The sequence below is a fragment of the Homo sapiens genome, chromosome X (assembly GCF_000001405.40).
Source record: "Homo sapiens chromosome X, GRCh38.p14 Primary Assembly".
NCBI classification, from domain to species: domain Eukaryota; kingdom Metazoa; phylum Chordata; class Mammalia; order Primates; family Hominidae; genus Homo; species Homo sapiens.
In genome coordinates, this window is record NC_000023.11 from 28713566 (window position 1) to 28732867 (window position 19302).

A 19302-nucleotide genomic window follows, 5' to 3' on the forward strand; every position below is an offset into this window, starting at 1 on the left:
ATGGCAACTTACAGCAGGAAGGATTGGGTCTAGATTTTCCTTACTTTGCCTCAGATTTTTCATTTTCGAAAAAATGCCCCTTTTCATGTGTTGCAACTGAGGAGAGTTATGAGTCAAACGCATCCTGTTTTCAAACTCATACATGATATTTTGGTTAATAAATGCATCAGGACCTGGAGGACAATTGACATATAAAAGAAACATAGAAAGAAGGCAGCCAATTGTGTCTGTTTACAGACTAAATATGACAAAAAAAGGTCTGTGAGAGTTTTAAGTTCTGCCTGTTCCCTAGAAATTTCTACTCATTTGAAGATGAACCTTGATTGAAATGTAAAGTTTCAACTTCTAAGAAGCTGAGTAACATACACAGCAGGAACTGCCAATATCGTTTTAATAGACATGTCTTGTAAAGGTGAATTTCAATGAGTTTTCAGAGCTTTCTGAACAGTATTATCACACGTTTTAAGTAAATAGGTCAATGTTATCATTTATGTATAATTTTATTGCTTTAGTGCTATATTTTTATGATTATTTTACAAATACTTTACTAAGAATATACTGAAGTCTCCTGATGATTTTATGCTCTTTCTTATTCTTGTTTTACTCGAGAAGTTTTAACTTTGAATCCCTACTTAGCTACTTTAAAACCTGTCTCATTTTTCCAACTTACACCTTGCATCATCTCTCTTTCCTTAGAGCCCAGACATCTTGCGGAGCCATTCACTTCTTCCTAACATTTTAGATACTCCAATCTTTTTTCTATATTTGATTATTTATTTGTGAATCTCAAGAACAGAAGTAGTCTATCCCCAAAACATGCAGAGAGCTGGAAAAAGTATAGACATATACAATTTAATGGAAGGAAGGAAGGCAGGAAGGAAGGATATGAATTATATCTCTAAATTGGAAACTTCAAGCCTTATGTCTTTATAATGATATATCATAATTTCCTTTTAAAAGTCAGGAACTCAGACCAAGACACAAACTCATGCACATGCTAAACTGTGAAAGCATACATTTACCTGTGGTGACGTTAGCTGGCAGTTTTAGTTGGCTCAGAAAAATAATCTTACATAAGGAAAGAGCCTCCCTCCATGAGCAGCCTTGAAAGTAGAAAATTTAGGAAGAATGTGTCAATGATCAAATCTACTGAAAATCAGCAATATCTTTTGCATACTTGTGGAGTAAGGTGTGACAAGTTATTAGTGGTATGGATGGCTGAGCTTTTCTGGAAAGAAGAGGACATTTTTCAAATGTGCCTTGTATTGTGCATGGTCCTTTCCATGGTTATACCTACATACTGGCCAGTTGTAAACATTAGATCATATTAAAATCATTCATGGATCTTTCAAAAAGACTTAGACTCCCACACAATAGTAGTGGGATACTTTAACAGCCCACTGGCAATATTAGACAGATCATCGAGACAGAAAATTAACAAAGATATTCAGGATGTAAGCTCAGCTCTGGACCAAATGGATCTGATAGATAGCTACAGAACTCTCCACCCAAAAACAATAGAATATACGTTCTTCTCATTGCCACATGGCATTTACTCTAAAATTGATCGTATAATCAGAAGTAAAACACTCCTCAGCAAATGCAGAAAACTGAAACCATATAAAACAGTCTCTGGGACCACAGTGCAGTCAAATTAAAACTAAAGACTAAGGAATTCACTGAAAACCGTACAATTACATGGAAACTGAATAAGCTGCTCCTGAATGACTTTTGGGTAAATAATAAAATTAAGGCAGAAATCAAGAAGTTCTTTGAAACTAATGAGAACAAAGATACATCGTACCAGAATCTCTGGCACACAGCTAAGGCAGTGTTAAGAGAGAAATTTATAGCACTAAATGCCCACATCAAAAAGTTAGAAAGATCTCAAGTTAACAACCTAACATCACAACTAAAAGAACTAGAGAACCAAGAGAAAAATCAAGCCACAGAAATACAAACAACCATCAGAAAATATTACAAATACCTCTATGAACATAAACTAGAAAATCTAGAAGAAAGGGATAAATTCCTGGACATAGACACCCTCCCAAGACTGAACCAGGAAGAAATAGAATCCCTAAACAGACCAATAATGAGTTCTGAAATTGAGGCAGTAATAAATAGCCTACCAATCAAAAAAAGTCCAGGACCAGATGGATTCACAGCTGAATTCTACCCGATGTACAAAGAAGAGCTGGTACCATTCCTACTGAAACTATTCCAAAAAATTGAAAAAAGGGGACTCTTCCCTAACTCATTCTATGAGACCAGCATCATCTTGATACCAAAACCCTGCAGAGACACAATAAAAGAAAGAAAACTTCAGGCCAATTTACTTGATAACATTGATGCAAAAATCCTCAATAAAATACTGGCAAACTGAATCCAGCAACACATCAAAAAGCTTATCCACCACAATCAAGTAGGCTTCATCCCTGGGATGCAAGCAAGCTTGGTTCAACATACACAAATCAGTAAATGTGATTCATCACATAAACAGAACTAAAGAGAAAACACACATGATTATCTCAATAGATGCAGAAAAGGCTTGTGACAAAATTCAACATCCCTTCGTGTTAAAAACTCACAATAAACTAGGTATTGAAGGAACATACGTCAAAATAATAAGAGCCATGTGTGGCAAACCCACAGCCAACATCGTACTGAATGGGCAAAAGCTGGAAGCATTCCCCTTGAAAACTGGCACAAGGACGCCTGCTCTCACCACTCATATTCAACATAGTATTGGAAGTTTTGGCCAGGGTAGTCAGGCAAGAGAAAGAAATAAAGAGTATTCAAATAGGGAGAGAGGAAGTCAAACTAACACTTTTGAAGATGTTTAAAAAAAGCAATGGGGAAAGGATTCCCTTTTCATTAAATGGTGCTGGGATAACTGTCTGGCCATATGCAGAAGATTGAAACTGGACCCCTTCCTTACACCATATACAAAATTTAACTCAAGATGGATTAAAAACTTAAATGTAAAACCCAAACATATAAAAATTCTGGAAGACAACCTAGGCAATACTATTCAGGACATAGCCTGGGCAAAGATTTCATGATGACGACACCAAAAGCAATTGCAACTAAAGCAAAAATTGACAAATGGGATCCAATTAAAATAAAGAGCTTCTGCACAGCAAAGTAACTATCAACAGACAACCTACAGAGTGAGAGAAAAATTTTTGCAAACTATGCTTCCAACAAAAGTCTAATTTATAAGGAACTTCAACAAATTTACAAGAAAAAAACACCACCCCATTAAAAAGTGGGCAAAGGAGATGAACAGACACTTCTCAAAGGAAGGCAGACACATGGACAACATGCATGTGAATAAAAGCTCAACATCACTGATCATTAGAAAAATGCAAGTCAAAACCACAATGAGATACCATCTCACACCAGTCAGAATGGCTACTATGAAAAAATAACAGATACTGGTGAGGTTGTGGAGAAGAAAGAACACTTATACACTGTTGATGGGAGTGTAAATTAGTTCAGCCATCGTGGAAGAGTGTGACAATTCCTCAAAGACCTAAAGACAGAAATACCATTCAATCCAGCAATCCCATTACTGGGTATATACCCAAAGGAATATAAATTGTTCTATCACAAAGACAGATGCATGCATATGTTCACTGCAATACTATTCACAATAGCAAAGATATGGAATCAACCTAAATGCCCATCAATGATAGACTGGATAAAGAAAATGTAGTACATATATACCATTGAATACTATACAGCCATAAAAAAGAATGAGATCATGTCCTTTGTAGGGACATGGATGGAACTGGAGGCCATTATCCTTAGCAAACTAACACAGGAACAGAAAACCAAATACCACATATTTTCTTTTAGTTGGGAGCTAAATGTTGAGAACCCATAAGACACATAGAGGTGAACAGCACACACTGAGGCCTACCAGAGGGTAGAGGGTGGGAGGAGGAAGAGGATCAGGAAAAATAACTAATGGATACTAGGCTTAATACCTGAGTGATGAAATAATCTGTACAACAAACCCCCATGACACACATTTACCTATGTTACAAAGCTACACATGTACTCCTGAACTTAAAATAAAAGAATAAAAAAAATCGTTCATGAGTCTTTACAAAATCTTAATACCTGAGTCTCAGGATTGAGATTCGAAGTGGGGAGGGGGACTGGAGGACTTTTTTTGAGTTGATAAAGAAGAAACTGGTACTTTGAAAGAAGGTATACGTTTCTTCCTTCCTCCTTTTTGGTAATATTCTGGAATCACTGATCCTTAAGACTCCCAGGATTTTCAAGTTGTATTCTGTTGCATTTAGATGCAAAATAATCTAATGTAGTATTTTCCACAATGAGCTTCCTGAAAGGCTGATCTTCTCTGAAAATGTTAGTAACCTCATATGATAAATAAGTAAATACTAATGAGTTTCTTCCAAAATATGTTTAGAACTCTAAGAAAATCACTAAAGAAATGTAAATAGTTCTTACTATTATGCAATACTTTTTCATTAGAAATACAGTACCAAATCAAGAATGCCAAGGAGAATGAGAAATCATTCATTACTTTAATCTGTTCAATTAATATTTTTGAGCATCTACTATATGCCTGGTATAGTTGTAGGTGCTTGGGATACATCAGTAAAATGCATTAATACATGACTTTAATTCTGCAGCATTTAGAAAAAAACTCTCTGATGTTTGATGGGTTTTTAAAATATCGTATAATGTTCTTTATTCATTTTTCATTCAAATTTATAAATGAATTAAAAAATAAACTAAACCAGACTAATTTGCTTTATTCATATGTAAAGTTAAAAATAATTAGATATTGATCATTTCTTACAAGATTTATTTCATTGATTCCTTTTATTCTTTTGCTGTCAAATACAAGAGTGAATTTCTATGAACTGTGGAGATTTTCAATGCATTTGAATTAAAAGACTATGATGAACAGAAAATGACACATCCATACATGAAACTTCTCTGTAAGTGAAAGCTTTATTATATATTTCTTTGGGGAAACCTTTTGCCATGAAGAAATGAAGCAGGTTCTGAAATAAATTTGAAACAAAATTTTTATGCAACTTAAGCAAATTTTACATTGGTAAATCACGTGATTTATTAGAATTTTACAAATATTACAAATGTAACATCTTACACTTTATCAAGCTAAACAAGAAATAGAATCTTTTCTGGTTGACTGGCTGACATGAAATAGTTTTTGATTCAAGCAAACTTCTGCAAGTAGCTCTTTGTAAACAGAAAAATAAGATAGATGGATATATATAGATAAATACATAAAACTAACTTATTTGACTCTTATTTGGTCCCACCAGTTGGGCTTTTAGGGATGTTTTCTGCATTCAGGAAGTTTCTTGAAATAAAGATGAGTATTTGTTGTTATGTTTGTCTGCAGAGAACAGTCTGCAAATAGTCATATGTGTTTCATAAGGATCGCCTCAACTTTCTTTTTTGTTTCTGTTTTGTTTTTGCATATAGGTAGGGTTAGACATAATTGTAAATACTCCTTCTTAAAAAGGATATATATGCATCGGAATTTAGGAAATGGTCATATAATGGCTTTGAATCAGATTAACCTGGATTTAATACAGGTCCCTAGGTATTGTGGACCCTCATACCCAATTCTCTTTGACTTTGTTTTGTCATTTGTCACATAAAGATATTAATATTTAATATACAAGGTTGTTATAAATCAATAAGATAATAAAAGTGTAAAGAGCACTGCACTGAACCTGCCTTATGGTAAGGATTCATTGGAAAGTAATTATTTGTTATTACTGTTATTATTATTAAGCATCTATTATGTGTTAGGGTTGGGAATAATAAATGGAATATTATATTGGGCATAGGTTTCAAGTGTAGTGTCTAGTTGGAGAACTAAAGAGTATATGTTTGAGGTAATAACTAAAAATAAAAACAGTAGTATGGATGAGAATAGACAGTTTTTTTTTAAATGTAAGCTTTGGAGGTTTTTGTGACATAAATATTATAAATGGTCCTGAAGAAATCTGAACCTAAATTTCTTCATGTATACAGCCCATTTATACTGTTCATTAGGTAGAAACCAGCTCGTAGATGACCTTCAATAAAGTTTGTATTGATTGCTAGGTTTTTGAGGAAACAAAAACAAGAGACAATTCAATTTTCCCAGCTTATTTCTTTTTGAACAGTAGAAAGGTGTTACATCTTGTTGCTGCCAAGTGGAGCAGATTAAAGGTCAGGACAGCATGCAAGATCTGTTTCTCTAATAGGAACATTCCAGCACACAGGAATGGGGGATGGAGTAATTTTTAGTCTATGTTTCTCATGAAAGTCAAGAATAGCATAACATTAGAGGTACTTTTTTGGTCTCATGTTTATTCAGTAGCTTTGACCGTAGAGTTTTTTCCTATTTAGTGACTATATTCTACTTGGAAAATATGATGTAAAAGAAATTCGTAGAGAAAAATGCAAATACCGTTGCATATCCCCAAGTAATTTATGCTTTTTCTTACCCCCAAATTCTTGAAATATATTCATTTGTAATAAAAAAAGTCCCTGCACCTGGAGTTATCTTTTATTTTCCTTTCTTTTTTTAATTACTCTGACATATAATTGTAAGATACATATTTATGAAGAGTTGAGACAGGCCAGAATCAAATTTTCTTGTCCAGCCTACCCAGCTGCTGATGGCCATCTCTGAGATAACCAACTTGCTCACACATGCTCCTAATGATTTCTGTTATATAGTTGAGAGGGAGTGTCCGTCTGTCAGCACTAAATGCTATTTGTGAAATTAATGGCACAAGGAAACAATGTAGCTCTGATACTAGTTGCAGCTATACATGTTAGCTGATTTTGAAAAAAGGTTGGAATTTAGTAATATCTTTCAGTCACATGGTATTTTTCCCTCTACTCTTCCCCTGGTTCATGGCATTCTAAGCATATCAAATTACCTACTACTTGTTATTGCAAATGATACTTTTAAATTTCTGATTTGAGATATTACTTGACCCATATAAAAATACAAAATGACTGATTTTTTTTTATTATTATACTTTAAGTTCTAGGGTACATATGCACAACGTGCAGGTTTGTTACATATGTATCCATGGGCCATGTGGGTATGCTGCACCCATTAACTTGTCATTTACATTAGGTATATCTCCTAATGCTTTCCCTCCCCTCTCACCCCACCCCACCACAGGCCCTGGTGTGTGATGTTCCCCTTCCTGTGTCCAGGTTTTCTCATTGTTCAATTCCCACCTATGAGTGAGAACATGTGGTGTTTGGTTTTTTGTCCTTGAGATAGTTTGCTGAGAATGATGGTTTCCAGCTTCATCCATGTCCCTGCAAAGGACATGAACTCATTTATGGCTGCATTATATTCCATGGTGTATATGTGCCACATTTTCTTAATCCAGTCTATCATTGATGGACATTTGGGTTGGTTCCAAGTCTTTGCTATTGTGAATAGTGTCACAATAAACATACGTGTGCATGTGCTTTTATAGCAGCATGATTTATAATCCTTTGGGTATATACCCAGTAATGGGATGGCTGGGTCAAATGGTATTTCTAGTTCTAGATCCTTGAGGAATCACCACACTGCTTCCACAATGGTTGAACTAGTTTACAGTCCCACCAACAGTGTTAAAGTGTTCCCATTTCTCCACATCCTCTCCAGCACCTGTTGTTTCCTGACTTTTTAATGATCGCCATTCTAACTGGTGTGAGATAATATCTCATTGTGGTTTTGATTTGCATTTCTCTGATGGCCAGTGACGATGAGTATTTTTTCATGTGTCTGTTGGCTGCATAAATGTCTTCTTTTGAGAAGTGTCTGTTCATATCCTTCGCCCACTTTTTGATGGGGTTGTTTGTTTTTTTCTTGTAAATTTGTTTGAGTTCTTTGTGGATTCTGGATATTAGCCCTTTGTCAGATGAGTAGATTGCAAAAATTTTCTCCCATTCTATAGGTTGCCTGTGCACTCTGATGGTAGTTTCTTTTGCTGTGCAGAAGCTCTTTAGTTTAATTAGATCCCATTTGTCAATTTTGGCTTTTGTTGCCATTGCTTTTGGTGTTTTAGACATGAAGTCCTTGCCCGTGCCTATGTCCTGAATGGTATTGCCTAGGTTTTCTTCTAGGGTTTTTATGGTTTTAGGTCTGACATTTAAGTCTTTAATCCATCTTGAATTAATTTTTGTATAAGGTGTAAGGAAGGGATCCAGTTTCAGCTTTCTACATATGGCTAGCCAGTTTTCCCAGCACCATTTATTAAATAGGGAATCCTTTCCCCATTTCTTGTTTTTGTCAGGTTTGTCAAAGATCAGATGGTTGTAGATGTGTGGAATTATTTCTGAGGGCTCTGTTCTGTTCCACTGGTCTGTATCTCTGTTTTGGTACCAGTACCATGCTGTTTTGGTTACTGTAGCCTTGTAGTATAGTTTGAAGTCAGGTAGCATGATGCCTCCAGCTTTGTTCTTTTGGCTTAGGATTGACTTGGCAATGCAGGCTCTTTTTTGGTTCCATATGAACTTTAAAGTAGCTTTTTCTAATTCTGCGAAGAAAGTCATTGGTAGCTTGATGGGGATGGCATTGAATCTGTAAATTACCTTGGGCAGTATGGCCATTTTCATGATATTAATTCTTCCTATCCATGAGCATGGAATGTTCTTCCATTTGTTTGTATCCTCTTTTATTTCATTGAGCAGTGGTTTGTAGTTCTCCTTGAAGAGGTCCTTCACATCCCTTGTAAGTTGAATTCCTAGGTATTTTATTCTCTTTGAAGCAATTGTGAATGGGAGTTCACTCATGATTTGGCTCTTTGTCTGTTATTGGTGTATAAGAATGCTTGTGATTTTTGCACATTGATTTTGTATCTTGAGACTTTGCTGAAGTTGCTTATCAGCTTAAGGAGATTTTGGGCTGAGACGATGGGGTTTTCTAAATATACAATCATGTCATCTGCAAACAGGGACAATTTGACTTCCTCTTTTCCTAATTGAATACCCTTTATTTCTTTCTCCTGCCCGATTGCCCTGGCCAGAACTTCCAACACTATGTTGAATAGGAGTGGTGAGAGAGGGCATCCCTGTCTTATGCCAGTTTTCGAAGGGAATGCTTCCAGTTTTTGGCCATTCAGTATGATATTGGCTGTGGGTTTGCCATAAATAGCTCTTAATTATTTTGAGATACGTCCCATCAATACCTAATTTATTGAGTGTTTTTAGCATGAAGGGCTGTTGAATTTTGTCAAAGGCCTTTTCTGCATCTATTGAGAAAATCATGTCGTTTTTGTCTTTGGTTCTGTTTATGTGCTGGATTACGTTTATTGATTTGCGTATGTTGAACCAGCCTTGCACCCCAGGGATGAAGTCCACTTGATCATGGTGGATAAGCTTTTTGATGTGCTGCTGGATTCGGTTTGCCAGTATCTTATTGAGGATTTTTACATCGATGTTCATCAGGGATATTGGTCTAAAATTCTCTTTTTTTGTTGTGTCTCTACCCGGCTTTGGTATCAGGATGATGCTGGCCTCATAAAATGAGTTAGGGAGGATTCCCTCTTTTTCTATTCATTGGAATAGTTTCAGAAGGTATGGTTCCATCTCCTCCTTGTACCTCTGGTAGAATTGGGCTGTGAATCCATCTGGTCCTGGACTTTTTTTGATTGGTAGGCTATTAATTATTGCCTCAATTTCAGATACTGTTATTGGTCTATTCAGGGATTCAACTTCTTCCTGGTTTAGTCTTGGGAGGGTGTGTGTGTCCAGGAATTTATCCATTTCTTCTAGATTTTCTAGCTTATTTGCATAGAGGTGTTTATAGTATTCTCTGGTGGTAGTTTGTATTTCTGTGGGATCAGTGGTGATATCCCCTTTATCATTTTTTATTGCAACTATTTGATTCTTCTCTCTTTTCTTCTTTGTTAGTCTTGCTAGCAGTCTATCAATTTTGTTGCTCTTTTCAAAAAAGCAGCTTCTGGATTCATTGATTTTTTGAAGGGTTTTTTGTGTCTCTATCTCCTTCAGTTCTGCTCTGATCTTAGTTATTTCTTGCCTTCTGCTAGCTCTTGAATGTGTTTGCTTTTGCTTCTCTAGTTCTTTTAATTGTGATATTAGGGTGTCAATTTTAGATCTTTCCTGCTTTCTCTTGTGGGCATTTAGTGGCATAAATTTCCCTCTACACACCGCTTTAAATGTGTCCCAGAGATTCTGGTATGTTGTGTCTTTGTTCTCATTGGTTTCAAAGAACATCTTTATTTCTGCCTTCATTTCGTTATGTACCCAGTAGTCATTCAGAAGCAGGTTGTTCAGTTTCCATGTAGTTGGGCGATTTTGAGTGAGTTTCTTAATCCTGAGTTCTAGTTTGATTGCACTGTGGTCTGAGAGACAGTTTGTTATAATTTCTGTTCTTTTACATTTGCTGAGGAGAGCTTTACTTCCAACTATGTGGTCAGTTTTGGAATAAGTGTGATGTGGTGCTGAGAAGAATGTATATTCTGTTGATATGGGGTGGAGAGTTCTGTAGATGTCTATTAGGTCTGCTTGTTGCAGAGCTGAGTTCAATTCCTGGGTATCCTTATTAACTTTCTGTCTCATTGATCCGTCTAATGTTGACAGTGCAGCGTTAAAGTCACCCATTATTATTGAGTGGGAGTCTAAGTCTCTTTGTAGATCTCTAAGGACTTGCTTTATGAATCTGGGTGCTCCTGTATTGGGTGCATATATATTTAAGATAGTTAGATCTTCTTGTTGAATTGATCCCTTTACCATTATGTAATGGCCTTCTTTGTCTCTTTTGATCTTTGTTGGTTTAAAGTCTGTTTTATCAGAGACTAGGATTGCAACCCCTGCCTTTTTTTTGTTTTCCATTTTCTTGGTAGATCTTCCTCCATCCCTTTATTTTGAGCCTATATGTGTCTCTGCACGTGAGATGGGTCTCCTGAATACAGCACACTGATGGGTCTTGACTCTTTATCCAATTTGCCAGTCTGTGTCTTTTAACTGGAGCATTTAGCCCATTTACATTTAAGGTTAATATTGTTATGTGTGAATTTGGTCCTGTCATTATGATGTTATCTGGTTATTTTGCTTGTTAGTGGGTGCGGTTTCTTCCTAGCCTCGATGGTCTTTAAAATTTGGCATGTTTTTGCAGTGGCTGGTACTGGTTGTTTCTTTCCATGTTTAGTGCTTCCTTGAGGAGCTCCAGACCTGCCCTACAAGAATGACTGATTGTTAGAGACTTTTTTGTGTTTCTATGGAAAAATTAAAACATATGTGAGAGAGTAAACTGCTGATTATTCTATACAAAGCCTTCTAGCATATCTTTCTGACTTTCTGTAAATGGAACATGACTTGACGTCTACCTCCAACTCAATTTGTTTTTTTTTTTTTTTTTTCTGAGACGGAGTCTCACTCTGTCCCCCAGGCTGGAGTGCAGTGATGCAATCTCGGCTCACTGCAAGCTCTGCCTCCCGGGTTCACGCCATTGTCCTGCCTCAGCCTCCTGAGCATCTGGGACTATAGGCGCCCGCACCACGCCCGGCTAATTTTTTGTATTTTTAGTAGAGACGAGGTTTCACCGTGTTAGCAAGGATGGTCTCAGTCTCCAGATCTCATGATCCACCTGTCTCGGCCTCCCAAAGTGCTGGGATTACAGGCATGAGCCACCATGCCTGGCCCTTGGTGTGTTTTTTAAAACACAATCAAACACATAAACATTCACAAAGAACTACTTCAGAAAAACAAGAATTCACTGGACTAGAGAGGACCTTTAAAAAATCTGAAAGCTTCTTTGACAAGAAAGGATAATTGCTGTATATCTTTCTTATTGAGTATAATTTTCGTTTACATATTTTATTTTGTGTGTTTTTAAAAATTATTATTACCGGGTAATTATGATAGATATAACTCAGAATACGCATAGGTCAAGGCATGGGATAGGGATTGTATGGAGCTTCCATACTCCCCACTGTGTGCCACCCTCTTAGCACATCTGTGTTTTCACCAACCCAGAAGTTCTTCATACAATTTTAAAACGTAATTAATAAAAGATCTTGCAAGTCTCTGAATTTTCTTACCTTCTTACTCATAGGATCAGGCAAATTTCAATCTCTTTGTGAAAATGCTAACATGTTGAGAATGAGCAAGGCAGAGCAGTGGGGTGGATAATTCTAATAATAAATCATGAACAAAAGTAAATGGTGATGGCTGTGATGGTGTGAAATAACCTGATGGTGGCATAGGCCTCTTGAAGGAATACTCTGGGAATCTCCCTTGTAACACTTTTAAGAGCAAATTTAAAAAATCGAGACTATTTATGCATTTTTGTTGTATTTAGAAAAGCATCATGTACTTAAATGGAAGAAAAAAAGTGAGGGATACTTCCAGTGTTGGATGGTTAAGTTTTTCTGAAGTCTATGTTTATTTTCAAAGTTATTTATGACAATGAAATAATATTTAATGCTACAGCTATCACAGTGCACTCATTTATTTTTTTCTAAATTGTGAAGAATACATGGTTAATAATAGGTTTCAGATAGGTATCTGGATTCATGTGAATGAACTTAAAAAGACAGTTTTGATGATCATTCTGTTGAGGATAGAACTGTGGTATATGTGATCATGGGTTTTATTTTTCTCATGTGTAAAATGAGGTATATAATCTGAGTCTCAGGTGACTCCAAATTTTTACCATTCTTCACATATTGATATTATGTTCAAGAAATCAATAGGGATAAGGGGGAATTAAGGATAATAATTTGGTTCTACTTAATAACACACACTACTTGATTATTAACAACATTGCACGCAAGTGTTAATACAGCTCATTTGCTTTGGATGGAAGCTGTAATGTCTAAGATTCAAGCATACCTTCCTTTGGTGATGGCCTTCATTCATTCAACCAATATTTTTGTAGTGACTGTTGTGTGGGGATTGTGGTAGAATTAAAACTTTAAGGAAAAACCTATTATAAAACTCCCTCACAAAAAATACGATAAATTGAAATTTAAACATTATTTAAGAAATTTTATTACTTGGCAGATAATAAATGATACTTACTGAGTGCTACCACACCCAGGCACTATTCAATTCACTCTACAGTTATTAATTGACTTATATCATCCTCATAGTGTTCCTATGAAGTAAATGTCATTATTTCCCCCACTTTACAGATGAGGAAACTGAGGTATAGAGAGAATAGGCAGTTTGATCAAGCTTTTAAGATTGGTGAATGGAAGAGTGTGATTTGACCCCAGAGCTCTAGTGCCTGCATGCTTAAACACTATATTGCACAGCTTCTTCATTTAGATACATTGCAGAAACAGAGGAATCTAATTGTAGATGCATCTGGCTCAACTCCTTTGTGAACATAGTAGTAATGTAATCAGAAGACTTATATCCTCAGTTTTATTCTTTTATGGATTTTATATGGGACCAATGATAAACTTTCTTCATTTACCCCAGTCTCTTAATAAAAATAATTTTCCAATTCTGTGAAGAAAGGCATTGGTAGCTTGATGGGGATGGCATTGAATCTGTAAATTACCTTGGGCAGTATGGCCATTTTCACGATATTGATTCTTCCTACCCAGGAGCATGGAATGTTCTTCCATTTGTTTGTGTCCTCTTTTATTTCATTGAGCAGTGGTTTGTAGTTCTCCTTGAAGAGGTCCTTCACATCCCTTGTAAGTTGGATTCCTAGGTATTTTATTCTCTTTGAAGCAATTGTGAATGGGAGTTCACTCATGATTTGGCTCTCTGTTTGTCTTTTGTTGGTGTATAAGAATGCTTGTGATTTTTGTACATTGATTTTGTATCCTGAGACTTTGCTGAAGTTGCTTATCAGCTTAAGGAGATTTTGGGCTGAGACAATGGGGTTTTCTAGATATACAATCATGTCGTCTGCAAAGAGGGACAATTTGACTCCCTCTTTTCCTAATTGAATACCCTTTATTTCCTTCTCCTGCCTAATTGCCCTGGCCAGAACTTCCAACACTATGTTGAATAGGAGTGGTGAGAGAGGGCATCCCTGTCTTGTGCCAGTTTTCAGAGGGAATGCTTCCAGTTTTTGCCCATTCAGTATGATATTGGCTGTGGGTTTGTCATAGATAGCTCTTATTATTTTGAAATACATCCCATCAATACCTAATTTATTGAGAGTTTTTAGCATGAAGGGCTGTTGAATTTTGTCAAAGGCCTTTTCTGCATCTATTGAGATAATCATCATTCTCAGTAAACTATCGCAAGAACAAAAAACCAAACGCCGCATATTCTCACTCATAGGTGGGAATTGAACAATGAGATCACATGGACACAGGAAGGGGAACATCACACTCTGGGGACTGTTGTGGGGTGGGGGAAGGGGGGAGGGATAGCATTGGGAGATATACCTAATGCTAGATGACGAGTTAGTGGGTGCAGCGCACCAGCGTGGCACATGTATACATATGTAACTAACCTGCACAATGTGCACATGTACCCTAAAACTTAAAGTATAATAATAAAATAAAATAAAATAAAAAATAAAAATAATTTTCATTAGAGTGTATATGAGATTATGATGATGGATTTCTTATTATATCAGAATTATATTTTCATAAATTCAGATAACACTGTACAGTTATTGTTGAATACTATACTATGTATAAATGTCCACAAATCAAATTTTAACTATTCAAGGGTGCTTTCCTTTCAAAATTAGCAGAAAGATTACGTTTTCAACAGTTAATTAAACCATTTTGAAATTACAAGAGATAATGTAGAATTGTATCCAAAGTCTTATACATTTGTTCTGGCAATACCTTTATTCAGCAAGAGAGAAGAATTTATTCTCTGCAGATAACCGCTACTCACCCACAAACAGTCCAACATACAGCCCAGAGATGTAGGCTTCTCATTTTGGAAATACAAACTGTTTACAATGAGAGTATCTCTAAAAAAATTGTTTCTTAGGAGGAAAGATCGTTCTATCTTCCAGGAAAGGGAAACTCCAAGAAGTTTCTTTATTCTAAAAAATTAAGAAAGACCCTCAAACCTCAAAGCACATAAAGGAGACTTAGCAAACAATATTCTGTAATATTTGCAGAAAAACATAAACACAGCATCTTTACTAATGTTTATTTTCCAAAAATATGGTAATAATAGACATTTATTGGGAACTTCCGGCATTGCAATGCAGAACACTTTTTTATAATGAATATAAACTCATTATATAGATGAAGAAGCTGAGTTGCAAAGAAGTCAAGTAGGAAACTCATTTAAACCCTCTGGAGTCATGTCCTTCCACAGTGTTTTATATTTACTTTCTTGTAGATATTATGGCTATTCTAAATATTTGGATATTTGCTGCTCTAAAAGTCTTTTTCCTTAAAGAAAATTTTTCAAGTTGTATTTCTTTTTCACTTTAAAAGTTATTTTAAACTTAAAGGGAACTTTACAGCCCATTCTAGCTATGTTACTCTGTATTATCATTTGCTTATATCAAACATTTTGCATGCTACTATGACTATAAATATATCATTTTAAACTTTAATTTGTGCAAATTTAAAATGATTGACTTTTATTTTGCAGTTAGCAAATAAGCTCCCAGACTGACCAAAATGCTTTTAAGGGTCACATTTATGTTAAAAAATTATATGTATAAAATTCCCATTGGGAAAAGTTTGATTCCAGTATTCTTATGTAATAGCCAAGGGAGTGCCAGTTAAGTACAAATTTAATAGCTTTTCTAGGTAGGACTCCAGAATTAGTGCATGAAGGGAACATAGTTAATCTGTTTGAAGAGTTCATTAAATTAGGTTATATATGCTATTATGAAATATAGAGGAGCATAAAAGTATCCAGAGGAAAGCATAGAAACAATGCAAATTACTTAGAACCAAAAAGATTGATTTATGATGAATTATTAAAGATAAATGGATCTTAATAGTAAATGCTCTATAAACAGAGTATATGTCTAATGCCAAGATGCTAAGTTCAAAGAAGCTTTACCTAATAATTAATGAGGACTGGAAATACTCTAGCATTCTAGATATAGTTGCCCAATTAAATATGTTATAGAAAATTATCTGAAAATGGGAAGCTAACTGAGCTCATCCAAAATTTAGATGATGACTTATTTCTTCCAGTTAGAAGATAGGGATGAGGCCGGGTGTGGTGGCTCATGCCTGTAATCCCAGCACTTTGGGAGGCCGAGGCAGGCGGATCATGAGGTCAGGAGATTGAGACCATCCTGGCCAACATGGTGAAACCCCATTTCTACTAAAAATACAAAAATTAGCTGGGTGTGGTGGTGCACGCCTGTAGTCCCAGCTACTCTGGAGGCTGAGGCAGGAGAATGGCGTGAACCCAGGAGGCGGAGCTTGCAGTGAGCCAAGATCCATCTCAAAACAAAAAACAAAACAAAAAAAATTATGACTTGAATTTCAATTATGACTTGAAATTATCTTATGATAGTTTCTAATAGGTGGTTTTCCTCATTTGTTTCAATTATAATTAAAAATAGTTTTATAATTATTATGACACTTGTAAAGATAGTAAAACTCTGTTTCAGAAAGCTTATCCATTTGCTGAAGTTTGTATTGCTCTCTCATCTATTCCTTGAAGAACTTTAATATTGAAGGAAAACAATGACAACTTTTATGATAGGAAATTCCCCTGCTTAACTAAACCAGCACATATTGGTCTCAAAAATTGAGATGACCTGAATCTTTGAATATAGTTTTTTTACACGTTGAGCATTGTATATAGTTAGAAAGGGCTATAGAAACTGTTTCATGTTTAAATAATTATTTCTTTCCTTTTATAAATAATATAAAGAGTATATATCAGTTATGTATTCAGAGGAACACTTCCGAAAAACGACTAAATAGATACTTGGCCATATTTTCTACAAAATTATCTAACATAGAATGAACATATTTATTCAATAAATGTATGCTGAAAAAAGCTACATCATAAGTAAAATGAACAATAAAAAAACTAATAATATTTTCCAGTTTTCTTGATAATGATTTACACTTGTTGAACTGTGATGTGTGATATACTTGTTGAACATGCTAAGGAATATTAAGCCATGCCCTAATTTTCATTATTTTACATTCATGCATTAACTTGAGCAAGACCCTAAGATTTATTTATAGGTGCCAGTTCAGAAAGTTTTTCTTGCTGTGAAATCCTAGACCTGATGTTTTAACATATATATGGACTTTGAAACCATGTTCATTTAATGCCTATGACCAATAGTTTTAATGAATGCCTAACAACTTACTTAAACCAAACAAATAATTAGTGTCAATTACAGAAGTGTAAATTTGACTCTAATTAATGAATGTGCCAGACTCTACGCATTGGTTTAAGTGTAATTGATCTTAGGGCCACTGAGATCACTTTAAGGGTTGGAAAAATGACAACAAGTAGGAAGTGACTCAGATGTAAGAATGCTCACTCCTAGAAAGATTAATTGGTGTATTAGTGATAAACTAGTGGGTGGCTGATGTAATAATGATATCCCTATATTAAGATGCCTCAAAATAGGATCACCAACTCTAAAGCTTGTAAGTTTATACAATTACTATGTCAAATATACTCTTTTAAAAGAATATCTGTCACGTTCATTTGTCCTTTTTTCATTTTGATTTTTTTTCTTTTTCATCATTATAAAAAAAACATCCTAAGGGAAGCATACTGATGTTTTACTTTATGCTTTGAAATGTTCTCACTGAACTGTGTTGGTAGGCCTGGGTGTGGTAAATTAAGTGGCTTGTATTAAAAAGACAATGATTGCTAGCTAGTATTTTTCCATTTTCTTTGCTGTCAGCAAAGTCTGCTTTTGTTGCCATGATAACTTCTCCCCACTTTGATGGTGAAATCTGGAAGGACAAAAAAGAAGGGCATTTCTATTGTGCTATTACATTTCTTCTCTTTTGAAGAACTTCTAATACTTTGAATGATGGGTTAAAAAGCCGAGATGATGTGATGAAGCTGAATGGTGGGCAAAAGCTAAATTATGGCATATTCATTTTTTTATCAGTGCGTGAAAGGTCACTGGCTGAGGGAGAGACAGGCAAAGTCCTAGATCAAGAGAGTGAGAGGTGGCTGCTAAGTGGGGAGTTGAGAAGATCAGAATACTACGGAGTCTTTGTCCTTTTTCTGACTATTCCCTGCCTATGTTTTTTCCCTCCCTTCTTTCTCCCCTACCTCCTAACCCCAGACAACTGTCCTAATGAAAAGATTTTTAAGAAAGATGTCAAAGAAAATAGAGTTTTTAAAGAAAGATGTCAAAGGAAATTGTTGAATGAGGCACAGGGGCAGCATGAGACCAGAGTGGAGGAAAGTGATAAAGGCACTTTTTAGAAGTTAAGCCCAGAAAACTGGGGCAAGAATCAAAGCGACGCTACAGGCAGGGATGAGGTAACCAGGGTCCTGAAGATAATCATAAGGAGCTGGAGTCTGAGGCAGGAAAAAAGGCAAGTCTGGTTAAGAGGTTTAAGGCAGAGGATGACCTACTTAGAAAAAGATCTTTTCAACAGCCAGACTTCGGACTAGAGGGGAAGTAGGTCAAGAGGCCTGAGAGTAGGTTACATTCGTCTGAGAGGAAGTTGTTTTGACTAAACAAGAAGTTGTAATTATACCAAATTATGAGATCGTTAAATTAAGTAGTCATGTGCAATAACATTTCCTCCTTAAATATTTTTAAACATTTTTTTAGCAGAGTTGTTCATCATACATCAAATTTTAATTTGCATTATGTTGTGTAGTACAACTTCATTTAGACTACTTCAGTGGAAGAACAATCGAAATTTACGAACATTCTGAAAGAGTTGGAATTTTGCTTCTTGTCCGTATATAAATAGGATCAAGTTAACCTTTCATACTGTGTGAACTCCTTTGTCTTATTTCTTCGAGGGCTTTTTAAAAGATAAGAATAATGAACGTGAAAGGGATTTTATAAAAACATGATTAATTCAGGTAATTGAAATAGTTTGATATCCTAAGTAGTTTAAGCATTCTTTCTGCTACCTCATTTGGATTAATAGTTTGTTTCATCCCAGCACTTTGGGAGGCCGAGGCGGGTGGATCACGAGGTCAAGAGATCAAGACCATCCTGGCCAACATGGTAAAACCCATCTCTACTAAAAATACAAAAATTAGCTGGGCATGGTGGCACATGCCTGTAGTCCCAGCTACTTAGGAGACTGAGGCAGGAGAATTGCTTGAACCCGGGAGGCAGAGGTTGCAGTGAGCCGAGTTTGCGCCACTGCACTCCAGCCTGGCAACAAAGTGAGACTCTGTCTT

General features: G+C 35.7%; 1 protein-coding gene across 2 annotated transcripts in view; it reads left to right on the top strand.

The window, feature by feature from the left end:
- IL1RAPL1 (interleukin 1 receptor accessory protein like 1) overlaps positions 1-19302 on the top strand; it is a 1369273-nt gene that overhangs the window by 126120 nt on the left and 1223851 nt on the right. The window contains exon 1 of one of the 2 annotated variants that reach the window (XM_017029240.2): positions 4043-4982. The exons of the other annotated variant lie outside the window; for it this stretch is intronic. The gene's annotated coding sequence lies outside the window, so the exon portion shown is untranslated. Of the gene's footprint in view, positions 1-4042; positions 4983-19302 lie in introns of those variants that run through there. 2 annotated transcript variants of the gene reach the window in all.